General features: G+C 41.9%; 1 pseudogene, besides 2 other annotated features; it reads right to left on the bottom strand.

The window, feature by feature from the left end:
- Nucleotides 3,418-3,517: an enhancer, noted in NCBI's record as "active region_830". NCBI's record gives its function as "activates an Ori minimal core promoter by ATAC-STARR-seq in GM12878 lymphoblastoid cells {active_cell/tissue: GM12878}" and the evidence as "EXISTENCE:reporter gene assay evidence [ECO:0000049][PMID:35858748]".
- On the bottom strand, nucleotides 13,919-14,786 carry OAZ1P1 (OAZ1 pseudogene 1; annotated as a pseudogene).
- Nucleotides 14,111-14,610: an enhancer, noted in NCBI's record as "H3K4me1 hESC enhancer chr1:40598557-40599056 (GRCh37/hg19 assembly coordinates)". NCBI's record gives its function as "activates a minimal SCP1, AML or CMV promoter by ChIP-STARR-seq in primed H9 embryonic stem cells {active_cell/tissue: H9 hESC(primed)}" and the evidence as "EXISTENCE:reporter gene assay evidence [ECO:0000049][PMID:30033119]".

Here is a 15,421-nt window from a genome sequence, read left to right as displayed (position 1 = left end):
AGGAAAGATCTGCCCCCATGATTCAGTTACCTCCCACAGGTACCTCCCACAACGCGTGGGAATTACAATTCAAGATGAGATTTGGGTGGGGACACAGCCAAACCATGTCAACAGGAGATTCTAGAGCATGGTTGCATGTGTATGGAAATGATACAGGAAAATAGGAGAAAATTTAATGTAGAAAACAGGGTGGGGGGATTGCAGGAGAAAAGTCCTTGAGAAGGCAAGAGGGCATGGCATCCAGAATACAAGAAGTTTGATCTGCAATAGAAATTAGATATGTATTTTTATTTCAAAAGGAGGGAATCTGGAGAGTATGGGTACAGATGCAAGTAGGTGTATAGATTTGGCAGTGGGAGATTTGGGAGTCATTGCCTGAGTGCTTCTTTTTGCTCCATGACTTGTGAGAGAAAGCTGAGGTGGTAGAGAAAGGCAATGTTGAGCCTTTGAGGAGACAGTAAAAACTTTGTTAGAGTTGTTTTAGAGTGAGAAAAAAAGAATGCATTCTAGATATGTGCAGGAAGATTGCAGGACAGTGTTGAGTGGCATCATTCATTTACTCAACAAATATTCACTGAAAGTCTACCATGTTTCAGGTACTGTCCTAGAGGCTAAAAATACATCATGAAAAAAAACAAGTCCTGGGTTTTATATTCTTTTCTCCCTCAGAAGTTATAATACAGTTAATTTAATTGCAACTTTCTTTATCATATTCCAGTTCTATGGATACTCCCAGGTCCCCCCCATACCCCCCAACCCAACCACCGGCTTGAGTGAACCTAGATATCTCTCAATACATCATGAGTAAGACACAAACGATGAGTTAGAGTGGTTACATTTTTAAGATCCATCTGTTTAGATTCATGGAACATTGTGGACAACTACTATGGTCAAGGTAAATTTTTCTCATTATGGGTAAAACCCAGAGGGCTCTAGGGTCAGGTTTGTCAGGTTTGGATCCCAGCTCCGACTGCTTATTCGTTGTGTGCCTTTAGATCATTTAATTTCATTGAGCCTTGGGTTCCTCATCTTAAGGTGGACATTGTAACAGCATGTGTCTCATAATTCTCATAGTTGTGGGTCCTAATGAGATTTATCCAAAGAGCGGAGAATGAGGCCAGATGCACAGTAAGCACTCAGTGTCACTAGTATTACTCCTATAAGGTTCAGCTTCAGAGGATAACTTTAGTTTCCTTTACTGTAGTCCCTCCACACCTACTGACCATGGATGCCATCTATTTTCACGACTTTGTCCTGTGAGTGACAAAATGATCAAGAGGACAGACCCATACTGTGGATCATCAAAGGAGCTGATTGATTAGGCTAGGATTTCTGATTTGCAAATTCAATAACTTGATTCTATCATTTCACCTAGGTTGTGATTAAGGCACAAGAGCCCAAATTACTAATTTACCTTAAGAAATATAATGGTATCTCTACAGAAAAGTCAGCTTGGGAAGCAAAATTAACACCGGAAGTTTGCTTAGGGAGGGTACAATTGGTGTAAAGGGAATGAGAAGATCTTAAACCACCATTGTTCCAACACCCTAGCTTCTCCCACGGTTATTTTTTATCCTTTCTTTCTCTACCCCCCAAATCTAATCAGGTTAGATTCTAAGTCCTATTAATTTGTGCTCAGGAAACTTTCTCCCATATTTTCTCTTACCCATTTCTACTTCTCCATGCCTGGGGAATGAGAGTATATAGATAACACAAAATAATGTCCTCTAAAGGTCTTCAAATGAGAAGCATTTGAAGAGTGAGAGTGGCTTCCAGGTGAGGGAGAGGATGTGCTTCAGAAGCTGATTTTGATTATCATTTCCCATGGCTGGACTTGCTGCCATCACCTCCCTGGGACCCTGGGAACATTTTGTTCCTTTCCCAGGGGCTCAGCATTCCCTTCTGGGAGGCTTTGTTGCTCCCATTTTGATGAAGGGTTAGGGGCCCAAAGGTAGAGAACCCCCAAAGGAGATGGGAATCCAAAAATCTCACAGATGCTATTTCAGACTTTCCCCTCCTGCCAAAGTCTCCCTGGAGAATCCTTCTTTCCTCTGCCCTTTGGGAGATTTTATATTTGTTGGATTTAAGGGAGGGGCAGTTCCTTCATCGTACCACTACCGTTAGACATGCCCTACTTTGCTCTTGCTTGAATGATTGCAAGGGCTTCCCAACAGGCATTCCTGCTTCTAGTTCATCCCCTTGCTCCCCGAGATTCATCTTCCTAAATTTGACTCCATTGTTTAAGATTGTTCAGTCCCTTCTTGCTTCAAATAGAATCGAAATCTTCAGCCTGCCTATTAGGTTCTACCACCTGGCCTTATCACCTGCTATTCCTAAAAGCACCAGAATTTCTTGTTAGCACCCCATACATGTTGCTACCCCACCCCCCAACATATAATTTTCCTGCCTTTGTGTCTGCTCAATTTGTCACCTTTTCTTGGAAACTCCCTTCTATGTGTACTAAATACAATTAACGGGGCATATCATCCAGTCATGGCAGAGGCCCCCAGTTACATTAACCTTCAGCAAACCCTAAACTTTTTCTCACTTCAGGGCCTCTGTACTTGTTCTTCCCTCTATCTGGAACATTCTTCACTTGTCCAGCTTCTTCTCAATCTTCAGGGTTGATCTCTTAAAGTAAGGCCCTTAATTTTCTCTCTTCTAGCATCCTGTTCTTTTTTTCCTTCATAGCACTTACCAAAATATGTAATTATACATTTAAATATTAATTTATTTGTTTAATCCTCCACTAGACTGTAAACTTGCAGTATTCATGTCTATTTGCTCCCCACTCTATTTTTCAGTGCCTAGCACAGTGCAAGGATGTAAAAAACATGAATATTTGCTGAATGCATAAGTGATTGAATGGGTTATAGTGCATAGAACTCATGGTCTGTCATCAACAAAATCCTATATTCTCGATCTCTTCTCTGCTTTAACTTAGACCTGGCTTTCCCCAAAGAACACCATTTCTCCCAAGTGACATCTTTTCTCTTTTGTTCACTTCATAGATTAGTGCCTGGCACAGAATAGTTGCTCTGCAATTATTTAATTGCTGTTTACTGGCTGTGTCCTTTTCCCTCTAAGCTAATGAATGGTTAGGAAGATAGCTCAACAGAATGAAAAGAAGTCATTCTGGAGGCAGACAGGCTGAGATTGAATCCTAGTCCTGCTGCTGACTAGCTGGTGATTTGACCAAGTTCGTTAACCTCTCTGAGCCACAGGGTTCATCTTTAAGTGTAATAGAATTTTAACTCGCGCGGAGGTACTTTATTAGGTTGGCCCAATGAGTTGATTCACACTGCCCCCTAGAGGACTTCTGTTTCTGGGACAACAGACTCCAAACCCTAGGAATGTTTGAGGATCTTTGTGAGCTACTCAGACGCACCTGAGGGAGAGGAGGGCTCCAGATCAGCCCTGTGGGAGTTGGCTCCAGATCAGCCCTGTGGGAGTTGGCCCCAAATCAGCCCTGCAGGGGTTGGCCCCAGATCAGCCCTGCAGGAGTTGACTCCAGATCAGCCCTGCAGGAGTTGGGACACAGACAAAAAGTTAAGAGGTCTTGGAGAAGGCAGCTCAGACATTGACAAGGTCAGCAGTCCTCGAGCAGCAGTGGCAGTGGGAGTTTTAATGATTTCTGAGAATCAAGGAGGGGACTTGGTTTGCAAAGCCTGCCTTTGTTGCTACTTAAGCATGTGGTGGGTTATCCAGAGCTCGGAGATTTAGAATATTGCTAAAGGTGAAGTCCATTTGTGTTAACCATAGCTGAGGTCAGGGGTATTTCAGAGTCACATGTAAAATGGAGCATCCTTAATAATAAGTACCTGCCTTTCAGGGTTGTTGTGAGGATCAAATGAGAAAAGAGTCATGTAACATGCTAATATGGTACCTGATACATAACAATTGCTCAATAAATGACAACTGCTATTATTGTTGAAGGTAAGGCAGCCTCTCCACTTTCCTTTCTTACACTACATGCTAAATTTATTCTCTAATAATAAAGAGTCAGGAAAAAAATGGAGCAAAAATGTGATCAAATATGCACTTTCTTGTAGGCAGTCTTTTGCTTTTTTCGTTTTGTAATAAAATTATCCTATTAATAAATTAAATGTGTATAGTTAAATCTATTTAAAATCCATTCATAAATGGTAAAGTAATTATTATGTGGTTGCCAGTGGCCAGAGGTAGAAGTGAGGTAGAAATTGATGGATAAGGGGCAAATGGAATCTTTTGGGGGTGAAAGAAATGTTCTATATCTTTTTTTTTTTTTTTTGAGGCAGAGTCTCGCTCTGTCGCCCAGGCTGGAGTGCAGTGGCATGATCTCGGCTCACTGCAACCTCCACCTCCCAGGTTCAAGTGATTCTCCTGCGTTAGTCACTTGAGTAGCTGGCACACCACCATGCCCGGCTAATTTTTGTATTTTTAGTAGAGACGGGGTTTCACCATGTTGGCCAAGATGGTCTCAATCACCTGACCTCGTGATCCACCCACCTCGGCCTCCCAAAGTGCTGGGATTACAGGTGTGAGCCACCGCGCCCGGCCCATTTAATACATTTTAATTTAACTTGACTACTATCTGCAATAGCAATGGAAATGAATCAGTGGGGAAAGATAAGAGAGACAGAGAAAGAGCGTAAGAACCCATATTATAACTCTGACCTGGACACAGAGCTGGGCTCTTGGAATACAAACTGAAATAGAACTGGTTCCTGACCTCAAACAGCAGCTAACTGTCTTATGAGGAAGACACACACATAAACATATAATTTCTCCTTAAAAAATTAAATATTCTTGAATAATTAAAATATGTATTTGGTTTTGAAAAAATCTGTACAAATAATAGTAAAAATCAGTCTCCCTCCCACCCCTGTCTCTTGGTTGAAAGCAACCACTGAAAACAGTTTATTCTACAGCCATTCAGAGGCATTCTACTTACATACAAGCAGAATTTTTATATGGTATGTGTATTGTTAGCTTTGTGTATGGTAGCTTTACTGTCTCTGAGTTTTCCTCCTTTAAACAAACAAACAAACAAACAAACACTTAACATTCTACCCTGTAGATGAGTCCATAACAAAACCTATTAAACAGATGGTTTGCAATATAAGATGGTAAGAACAATGGGAAAGAAATGAAAAGAATGCTGTGGTGTGGAGACTACTGGCATCTAGCAAGGGAAAGCTTCCTGGAGGATTGATGAGGCTGCCTTATCTCTTTTATGAGTATTCCAAGATAAAAATACAAGAGCTAATTAGTAAACCAAATGCTCTAGTTGTATACTAAACTGTGTTGTCTACAACTCTGATTGTTGTTTGGAGGGGAGCAAAAACAGTTTGAGCAGGCCAGGGGTGGGGAAAAGTTATTGCACAGAAAGTGGGACTGTCGAGGTATGAGGTAATAGGTCTTGGTACAGGAAGCACTGGGAGCCCATTGTGTGCAGGGAGGTCTTTGGTTACAGACTTGAGTATAGTATTTCAGATGACCCAGGGACTGATTAGAAGGATTAAAGGATGCTTACTTGTAGTTCTTTTTTTTTTTTTTTTTTTTTTGAGACAGAATCTCGCTCTGTTGCCCAGGCTGGAATGCAGTGGCACAATCTCAGCTCACTGCAACCTCTACCTCCCGGGTTCAAGCAGTTCTTCCTGCCTCAGCCTCCCGAGTAGCTGGGGTTACAGGCACCTGCCACCACGCCCAGCTAATTTTTGTATTTTTAGTGGAGACAGGATTTCACCTTGTTGGCCAGGCTGGCCTCGAACTCCTGACCTCAGGTGATCTGCCCACCTCAGCCTCCTAAAGTGTTGGGATTACAGGCGTGAGCCACTGCGCCTGGCCACTTATTTGTAGTTCTAACTAGCATTGCCAGATTTAGCAAATAAAACCACAAGGCATCCAGTTAAGTTTGGAGTTACATAAACAATAAATAATTTTTAAATATAAGTATGTATGTCCCATATTCAACTTAACTGGTCATCCTGTATTTTATCTGGCAACCCTGTCTTTAACCCAACCATGTGAAAAAATCAAATTGACCACTCAACATCAGGCAGTTAAAAACAATGACGAAGTGGGCGTTTTTAATTGGAAGAATAGACAAACAAGAAAATGTGTAGGGCTGGGGCCAAGAGTTGTTTAAGTGAGTTTAGGGCTGGTGGAGCCTGGGCCAAGGAGACTCTGGTGATCTGGGCTGGCAGGTCTGGGGCTGAGGTAGTAGCTTACAAGGTCAGGACAACTAGGTTCAGAGCCAAATAAATGGTTCTCATGGTCAGGAATGGCAGGGTCATGGCAAAGCCTGCAGCTCAAGGTCAGGGTCAGTAAGAATGGGGCCAAGGAGATGGCCCATGTGGTCAGGAGATTGAGCAAATAAGAAAATATATTGAGAATAGTGAGAGCCAGGTTTCTTACTCTTGGAGACAATAAGTATGAAAAGGGGAAAGACTAGAACAAACCCTGTAATTAGAGTCAGAGGTGTGAGCCTATAGGGTGTGTGTGTGTGTGAATATTATATATGATATACAAAGAGAGACAGAAGAGTAGATGTGTGTGTTTATGATATGTATAGTGGCTTTTTGGTTTTTCAAAACACACTAATTTGTAGCATTTGCTGATTTCCACGGTGTAAATACTCCCAGCATGAAATAATACTAGTTTCACAGCCACCCGCAAAGTTCCTGAATATTTAACAAGCAGCTTTTGCAAGTCCATATGAGCCAACTCCACTACAGTACTTCGGAATGTACATCATACGTATGATTGTGTGTGTGTGTGTCCAGACATATTTTTCCTAGTTGATATCTTGTTTCCTTGTCCTACTGAAAGGACTTGCAAGACCGACACACCCATAGCAATGAGTGCACCTAGCATCTACATCTTGACTTCCAAGTATCATTCTTCACTAAAAAGAAACCAAAAGTTCTTAGAGAAATGGCTGATTTCATGACTAGGGCAGTGAAAAATCTTACTGGTTCAGGAAGAAAGGAAGTATTCAAAGAATGAGGATGTAGTAAGCTAAGTAATGGCCCCTGAAGCTCTAATCTCTGGAATCTGTAAATATTATCATATACAGAAAAAGGATCTTTAGAGATATGATCAAGGAACTTGAGATGGGGAGATTGTCTTGGATTATTCAAGTGGACTTTAAATGCAAACACAAGTATCCTTGTAAGAGAGAGGCAGAGAGAGATTACGCAAAAGGAGAAGGCAGGAGGCAGAGACTGGAGTGGTGCAGCCACAAGCCAAGTGCCAGCTGGAAGCTGGGAGAGGCAAGGAACGAATTCTCCCCTAGAGCCCAGAGGAAGCATGGCCGTGTTAATATTCCTGATTTGGGCCCAGTGAAGTTGATTTTGAATGTCTGGACTTCAGAACCATGAGAACTGCAGCTGTTTTAAGCCACCGAGTTTGTGGTACACTGTTACAGCAGGCATAGCAAACTAATACAGATGAGAAATGTCAAAAGAACACAGGAGCCAGTGTAAAGAGGCTCCCACTGGCCAAATCAGGGACAATCTAGTCATCAAAGTAAATTATGATTGTAAGGAATTATAACTTATTGAATAAATTGGGAATCCTTAAGCCCACACTAATATAAATAAAAAATTAATTAAAAAGGATACAGGAGACCAGGTCCAGTGGCTCATGCCTGTAATCACAGCACTTTGGGAGGCTGAGGCAGGCAGATCACTTAAGGTCAGGAGTTTGAGACCAGCCTGGCCAGCATGGTGAAATCCCATTTCTACTAAAATTACAAAAATTAGCTGGGTGTGGCAGCGTGCACCTGTAGTCGCAGCTACTCAGGAGACTGAGGCATGAGAATCTTTTGAATCTGGATGGCGGAGGTTGTAGTGAGCCAAGATCTCGCCACTACACTGCAGCCTGGGCAACAGAGCAAGACTTGGTCTCAAAAAAAAAAAAAAAAAAAAAAGAGGATACGGGAAAGGAAATGATACTTTACTATAGAATTCAAGTAATAAATGTAGAAGAAACAATGGACATAGGAAAATCTCTATTTGGTGGCCATTATAGTAATAATCCAGGCAAGAATCATTAATGGATGCTAAAACTACTAGGTGTAAATTCGTGTATATTTATGTGTGTGTGTGTGTGTGTGTGTGTGTGTGTGTGTGTGTGTATATATATATGGAAAGAGAGAGAGAGAAATAAAGAGATAAGGAGGCAAATATGATAAAATGCCTCTGGTGGAGATTCTTCAGGATTCTCTGTACTAATCTTGCAAATCTTTTCTAAGTGTGAAATTATTCAAAACCATTTTTTAATTGTGGCAAAATATACATAAAATAAAATTTACCAACCTGTCCGTTTTTAAGCATATAGTTCAATAGTGTTAAGTACATCTGCATTGTTGTGCAACCAATCTCCAAAACTCTTATCTTGCAATCTAAAACTCTATACCCATTAAACAACTCCCCATTTCCCTTCTCCCCAGCCCCTAACAACCACTATTCAACTTTCTGTCTATAAATTTGACTACTAAGTACCTGATATAGGTGGAATCATACAGTATTTGTCTTTTTGTGACTGGCTTAGCGTAATGTTGTCAAGGTGCTACATCCATGGTATAGCATATGTCAGGATTTCCTTCCTTTTTAAGGTGGAATAATATTCCATTGTATGGATATATCCTATTTTGCTTATCCATTCATCTGTTGATGGACATTTGGGTTGCTTCCATGTTTCAGCTATTGTGAATAATGCTGCTCTGAACATGGGTGTACAAATAACTCTTCAAGACCTTGCCTTCAATTCTTTTGGATATATACCCAGAAGTATCAGTGCTGGATCATATGAAAATTTTATGTTTAATTTTTTGAGGAACTGCCATACTGTTTTCCATAGCAGCTGCACCATTTTTCTCTCTTTTCTTTTCTTTTCTTTCTTTTTTTTTTTTTTTTTTTTTGAGACAGAGTTTTGCTCTTGTTGCCCAGGCTGGAGTACAATGGCGTGATGCTGGCTCACTGCAACCTCCGCCTCCCGGGTTCAAGTGATTCTCCTGCCTCAGCCTCCCGAGTAGCTGGGATTACAGGCACCCGCCACCACGACCAGCTAATTTTTGTATTTTTAGTAGAGATGGGGTTTCACCATGTTGACCAGGCTGGTTTCAAACTCCTGACCTCAGGTGATCCACCCGCCTTGGCCTCCCAAAGTGCCGGAATTACAGGTGTGAGCCACCGCGCCCAGCCAACAGCTGCACCATTTTTCATTCCCATCAACAGTACACAAGGATTCTGATTTCTCCACATCCTCACCAAAACTTGTTATTTTCTTCATATTTTTGATAGTGGCCATCCTAATGCGTATGAGATTGTAGCTCGTTGTTTTGATTTGCGTTTCCCTAATGATTAGTGATGTCAAACATCTTTGCATGTGCTTTTTGGCCATGTGCATATCTTCTTTGGAGAAATAACTATTCAAGCTCTTTGCCCTTTTTGTTTTTTTTGTTTTTTTTTTTTGCGACGGAGTCTTGCTCTGTTGCCCAGGCTGGAGTGCAGTGGTGTGATCTCAGCTCACTGCAACCTCCACCTCCCAGTTCAAGCAATTCTCCTGCCTCAGCCTCCCATGTAGCTGGGATTACAGGTGCACGTCACCATGCCTGGTTAATTTTTTTGCATTTTTAGTAGAGACAAAGTTTCACTGTGCTAGCCAGGATGGTCTCGATCTCCTGACCTCATGATCCTCCTGCCTCAACCTCCCAAAGTGCTGGAATTACAGGCGTGAGCCACTGTGCCCAGCTTATTTGCCCAATTTTTAATTGGGTTGTTTGTTTTGCTGTGAGAACTCTCTGTATATTCTGGATATTAACCCCTTATCAGATATAGGAGTGCAATTATTTTCTCTCATTCTGTGGGTTGCCTTTTTACCCTGATTGTGTCCTTTAGAGCATTGTTTGTTTGTTTTTTGAGACAGTTTCACTCTTGTTGCCCGGGCTGGAGTGCAATGGCACGATCTCAGCTCACTGCAACCTCCGCCTCCCAGGCTCAAGCGATTCTCCCATCTCAGCCTCCTGAGTAACTGGGATTACAGGCGCCCACCACCACACCTGGCTAAATTTTGTATTTTTAGCAGAGACAGGGTTTCTCTATGTTGGTCAGGCTGGTCTTGAACTCCCAACCTCAGGTGATCCGCCCGCCTCGGCCTCCCAAATTGCTGGGATTACAGGCGTGAGCCACAGCGCCCAGCCTAGAGCATAGTTTTATCTATTTTCACTTTTGTTGCCTGTGCTTTTGGTGTCATATTCAAGAAATCACTGCTAAATCCAACGTTATGAACAATCGTTATAAACAACGTTATGTTTTCTTTTAAAAGTTTTATAGTTTTAGCTCTTATTTGAGGTCTTTGATCTAATTATTTTAGGTCTTCGAATTAATTACTGTATATGGTATAAGGTAGGGTTTTAACTTTATTCATTTATATGTGGATATCCAGTTTTCCCAAAACTATTTCTTGAAAAGACTGTCCTTTCCCAGTTGAATATACCTGGCACCCTTGCCAAAAGTCATTTGATCATATATAGGAGGGTTTATTTCTGGGCTCTATTTCTACTCCATTGGTCTATATGTCTGTCTTTATGCCAAGAGCACACTGTTTTAGTGACTCTGGCTTCATTAAAAGTTTCAAAATCAGAAAATGTAAAACCTACAACTTTGTTTTTCTTTTTAAAGATTGTTTTGACCATTCAGGGTCTCTTGAAATTTCACATAAATTTTAGGATGGATATTTCTATAAAACAAAAACTTTTAAAAATGCTTTTCTATAGAAGGAGATGGCACCATTACCTATTCTTATAATTCAGGGTGTTCTTAAAATAGTCATGACTGGCCACAGACATGAAATTAGGGGCACTTTTGAGATATGCCTTAATAGTACTGGAATCCTGTCCAGAGAAAGTTGAAAAGCCCAAGACAACGTTTTATGAGATTTTTTCCTTCCCTGTTTGTGCCAATTAGAGCAGGCTCAGCAGCTTTCTGGTCCACCTCCCCCAAGGCTATTACGTCGGAAAAGAGGGCTCATCTCTCATGGGTTTATTTGTTCCACAGGCCTTTTGGGGGTCATAAAGAGTTTAGTGAGTTTTGATAGGATTGCTTTATCTTATTCAAAGATAAAGATAAAATTTAACAAGTACTGCATAGTCACAACATCTTTTATGGCCATGTATCATTCAACAGAATAAAATGATCTTTGATTCATTTGCTCAATGTACTTGAAATCAAATCATTCAATATGACTCTTCTCTTTCTAAGATTAGAAAAATAATAATGTATATTTTTAAAATACATGTACACAGATGCTGGCTCTGTACTTACTAGGTAAGGCTGTTAAACTCTTTGTGTCTCAGATCTTTAAAATTGAAAACTAGTAGAAACTACATCATGGGGTTCCCTGAGGATCAAATGTGTTAATATATGCAAAATGTCTAGAACAATGTTATGTAAATATCAGCCATTATTATTCTCTTATTAGGTGTTGTGAGGATTAACGTAAATGAGATTACCCTTGTGAAGCTTGTGGTACAGTGCCTGGTACATAGAAAGTGCTAAATAAATATTGGCTATCATTATAAACAGATATTTCTGTGATTTATTATGAAGCCCACACCTTCATTAGGTACATCTTACCTTTCTTTACAACTTGGATACATGGGGAATTTGTTATCACAATAAGCATGGATTGAGTCTTCCTCTGTCATCCAGGCTGGAGTGCAGTGGTGTCATCATAGTTCATTGCAGCATCGAACTCTTGGGCTCAAATGATTCTCCCACCTCAGCCTCCTGGGTGGCTGGGACTACAGGTGCACACCACCGTGCCTGGCAAGCAACTCATTTTTCAGGCCCTGTGGTTGCGTTGTCCAATATGGTAACCTGTGGCCACATATAGCAATATGTCTGTCTTTATGCCAGTATCACGGTTTTAGTGAAATATGAGTAATACAAATTGAAATATGGCTAATACAAACTGAGAAGAGCTGGCCGGGCATGGTGGCTCACGCCTGTAATCCCCGCACTTTGGGAGGCCGAGGCGGGTGGATCACCTGAGGGGAGTTCGAGACCAGCCTGGCCAACATGGTGAAACCCCGTCTCCACTAAAAATACAAAAATTAGCTGGGCATGGTGGTGCACGCCTGTAATCCCAGCTACTCAGGAGGCTGAGGCAGGAGAATCACTTGAACCCAGAAGGTGGAGGCTGCAGTGAGCCGAGACCACACCACTGCACTGCAGCCTGGGTGGCAGAGTGAAACTCTGTCTCAAAAAATAAAAAAAGTAAAATACACACCAGATTTCAAAGACTTAGTACAAAGCCGGGCATGGTGGCCTATACCTATAATCCCAGTGCTTTGGAAGTCCAAGGCAGGAGGATTGCTTGAGGCCAGGAGTTCACGACTAGCCTAGGCAACATAGGGAGACTTTGTCTCTACAAAAAATGTAAAAATTAGCCGGGCATGTTGTTGTGCTCCTGCAGTCTCAGGTACTCAGGAGGCTGAGGTGGGAGGATTGTTTGAGCCCAGGAGTTCAAGACTGCAGTAAGCTATGATTATGCCAGTATACTTCAGCCTGGGTGACAGAACAAGACCCTGTTGAAGAAGAAAAGAAGGAGGAGAAGGAGACAGAGAAGGAGAAGGGGAAAGAGGAGGAGGAGGAAGAGGAGGATGAGGAGACCTACTATGAGATTCAAGTGATTCTTAGTATGAGGAAGAAGAAGAGGAGGAGGAGGAGGAGGAGGAGACCTAGTATGAGATTCAAACGATTCTTCTCCCTCAGCCTCCCAACTAGCTGGGATTACAGGCGCCTGCCACCACACCCAGCTAATTTTTGTATTTTTAGTAGAGATGGGGTTTCACCGTGTTAGCCAGGATGGTCTCAATCTCCTGACCTCGTGATCCGCCTGCCTCAGCCTCCCAAAGTGCTGGGATTACAGGCGTGAACCACTGCCTCACATTTTTATTTCTATTGGACAGTGCTTCCTTATATGGTAATAATTGTGATTGTTTACTCAAGTCATGACCATAGCTCTAAGGTGGAACTTTCATAATTTGACTTAATAAATAATATTCTCAAATGTTTATAAACATATATTGATAATTTACTTCTACATTGTAACTATATTTTAACCATATCTCATGTTAACATCTCTTTATTTTATATTATCCTGGATTCAGGGCGTATATATAGATTTAACTTGTTCCAGTTGATTATAGGCATTGATTTCCATATTCAACCTGTCATGGTTTGACTGTCCCTGGGCGTGAAAACTTTCTTCTCAAACCTTCCTGTTTGACTCCTGCAACATTATACTTGAAACCCCCCAAAAATTCCTCCTTCCCATCAGTAACAAAATATATCAGGCATTTCTCTGCCTGGAGATTTGGCACTGGCCACTATTTTTATGAAGGTTAACATGGAGGATTTAGGCACCAGGGCTGCAATGTATCATCTTCAGTGACCGCAGGGTGTCAGCAGGGCCAAAAACAAAGCAAACATTTAACCATTTCATTGGCTGAATGAGACTTTTCAGAGTCATGGATTCAATTTAACTCTAATCTCATTATTTTTATCTTACTCTAATACAAATAATAATTCTAAATAAAATTAAAATTCTACATCAAAATCCTAATTATTTAACATTACAATCCTCCCTCTCCAACGTTCCTGATCCCTCTTATTCCGCTCTATTTCGTTAATGGCACTTATATCTTCCAGCATATCATGTCTCAATTTTCATTTCTTTTTTTTTTTTTTTTGAGACGGAGTTTCACTCTTGTTGCCCATTCTGGAGTGCAACGGCACGATCTTGGTTCACCACAACCTCCGCCTCCTGGGTTCAAGCAATTCTCCTGCCTCAGCCTCCCAAGTAGCTGAAATTACAGGCAGGCGCCACCACGCCCAGCTAATTTTTTTTTTTTTTTTTTTTTTTTAGCGTTCATTTGCAGTTACAACATGTGGATAAACCCAGGCGAGATGAGCGAGCCTACCGTTCGCACCCACCCGGCAGACGCCGGGGCGGCCCCAGGAGCTTGATGCCCAGTCCCGCTGCGGCCGCTACTACTCCTCGCCCAAAGACTCTCTCCCCGACGTGTAGGCCATGAAGCAAGTGTCGGGTCTCTTGGGGACAAGGGGTCTCACAATCTCAAAGCCCCAAAAGCTGAAGGTCCGGAGCAAGGCGGCTCTGTCCTCGTGGTTCTTGTGGAAGCAAATGAAGACATGGTCGGCGCTCAGCTGCTCCTCGGCGAACTGCTGGAGAACTGCAAAGCTATCCTCGCTCCCCTGGGGCAGCGCACCACCAGGAATCTCCGATGCAGAGGCTGCCGCCGCTCAGCACGGCTCGCCAGTTAATGCCAGTTTGGCATCTGTGAGCCTGGAGTGGACGTTGAGAATCCTCTTGTCGTTGAACGTTAGAATCTCTGTTACATGCAGTCGATCATAGGAGTAGAGTAGCTGAAAGATCGTGATCCCTCTGACGATTCCCTCGCCCACCCGGAATCTTCAGGGGTGGGCGACCGGCATCAGGGGTGCGCGAGGGGCATCAGGAGCACCACCGAGATCCCGGACCGGGTTACTACAGCAGCGGAGGGAGACCCTGGAACTCTTGCTGCTGCGGCCGCTGCGGCTGTGCAGGCTGAGGAGCGGCCTGGTGCGGCTGGCGTGGACGGTGGCGCTGGCTTTGATCCCCTTTCTTCTCTCTGGCAAAGCAGTGGCTTTTGAGGATTCGCTGCAGGGAGGAGTTCACCATCCGGCCCCTGGCATCCGGAACCTGGAAAACCTCTGCTGCGCCTCTCTGCGCCGTGCGCCCTTAAAGCACAAATTGAGACGTCCCATAAGTTATCGAATACCTTAAATTTATATTTATTTTTATAATAAATATAAAATTTATATTTATTTTTATAATAAATATAAAATTTATATTTATTGTTATTTATTTTTATAAATAAATACAAAAATAAGATTTGAATTTATTCATCCCTCTTTGAATTTTTACATCCATTGACACTGGTTAAGTGATCTTGTAAAAAAAAGTCTAGTTTATTTCCTGTCAGTAGGGGAAAAATGGCTTCCTTTGCTCATATTTTGTCATAAACAGCTTTGACAATAATTAAAAAAATAAAACCCTAAGCAAGAAAGGAAATAAATTAATTTATATAAATTATAATTAATGGTTTGGCTTTGCTCTGCATAATTACATAGTCAATGGAAGTAGTCCCTGCTGATTTCAACTTGGCATCAGCTTATAGACAAAGCACGAAAGACTGAATGTAAATGTTTTCCATCTTGATCTTGTAAAAGTGAAACTACACATGATAGAAATTGGAGGATGAACGTGGGGAAGAATGCTGAAAGGAAAGGGAAAGTCTCTGATATCTGCATTTTAAAAAAACTAGGTGTCCGGCTGGGCGCGGTGGCTCACGCCTGTAATCCCAGCA

This window comes from Homo sapiens, chromosome 1 (genome assembly GCF_000001405.40).
Source record: "Homo sapiens chromosome 1, GRCh38.p14 Primary Assembly".
Classification (NCBI taxonomy): domain Eukaryota; kingdom Metazoa; phylum Chordata; class Mammalia; order Primates; family Hominidae; genus Homo; species Homo sapiens.
Note: the sequence above shows the minus strand (reverse complement) of the source record. Positions and strands in the feature narration are given on the sequence as shown.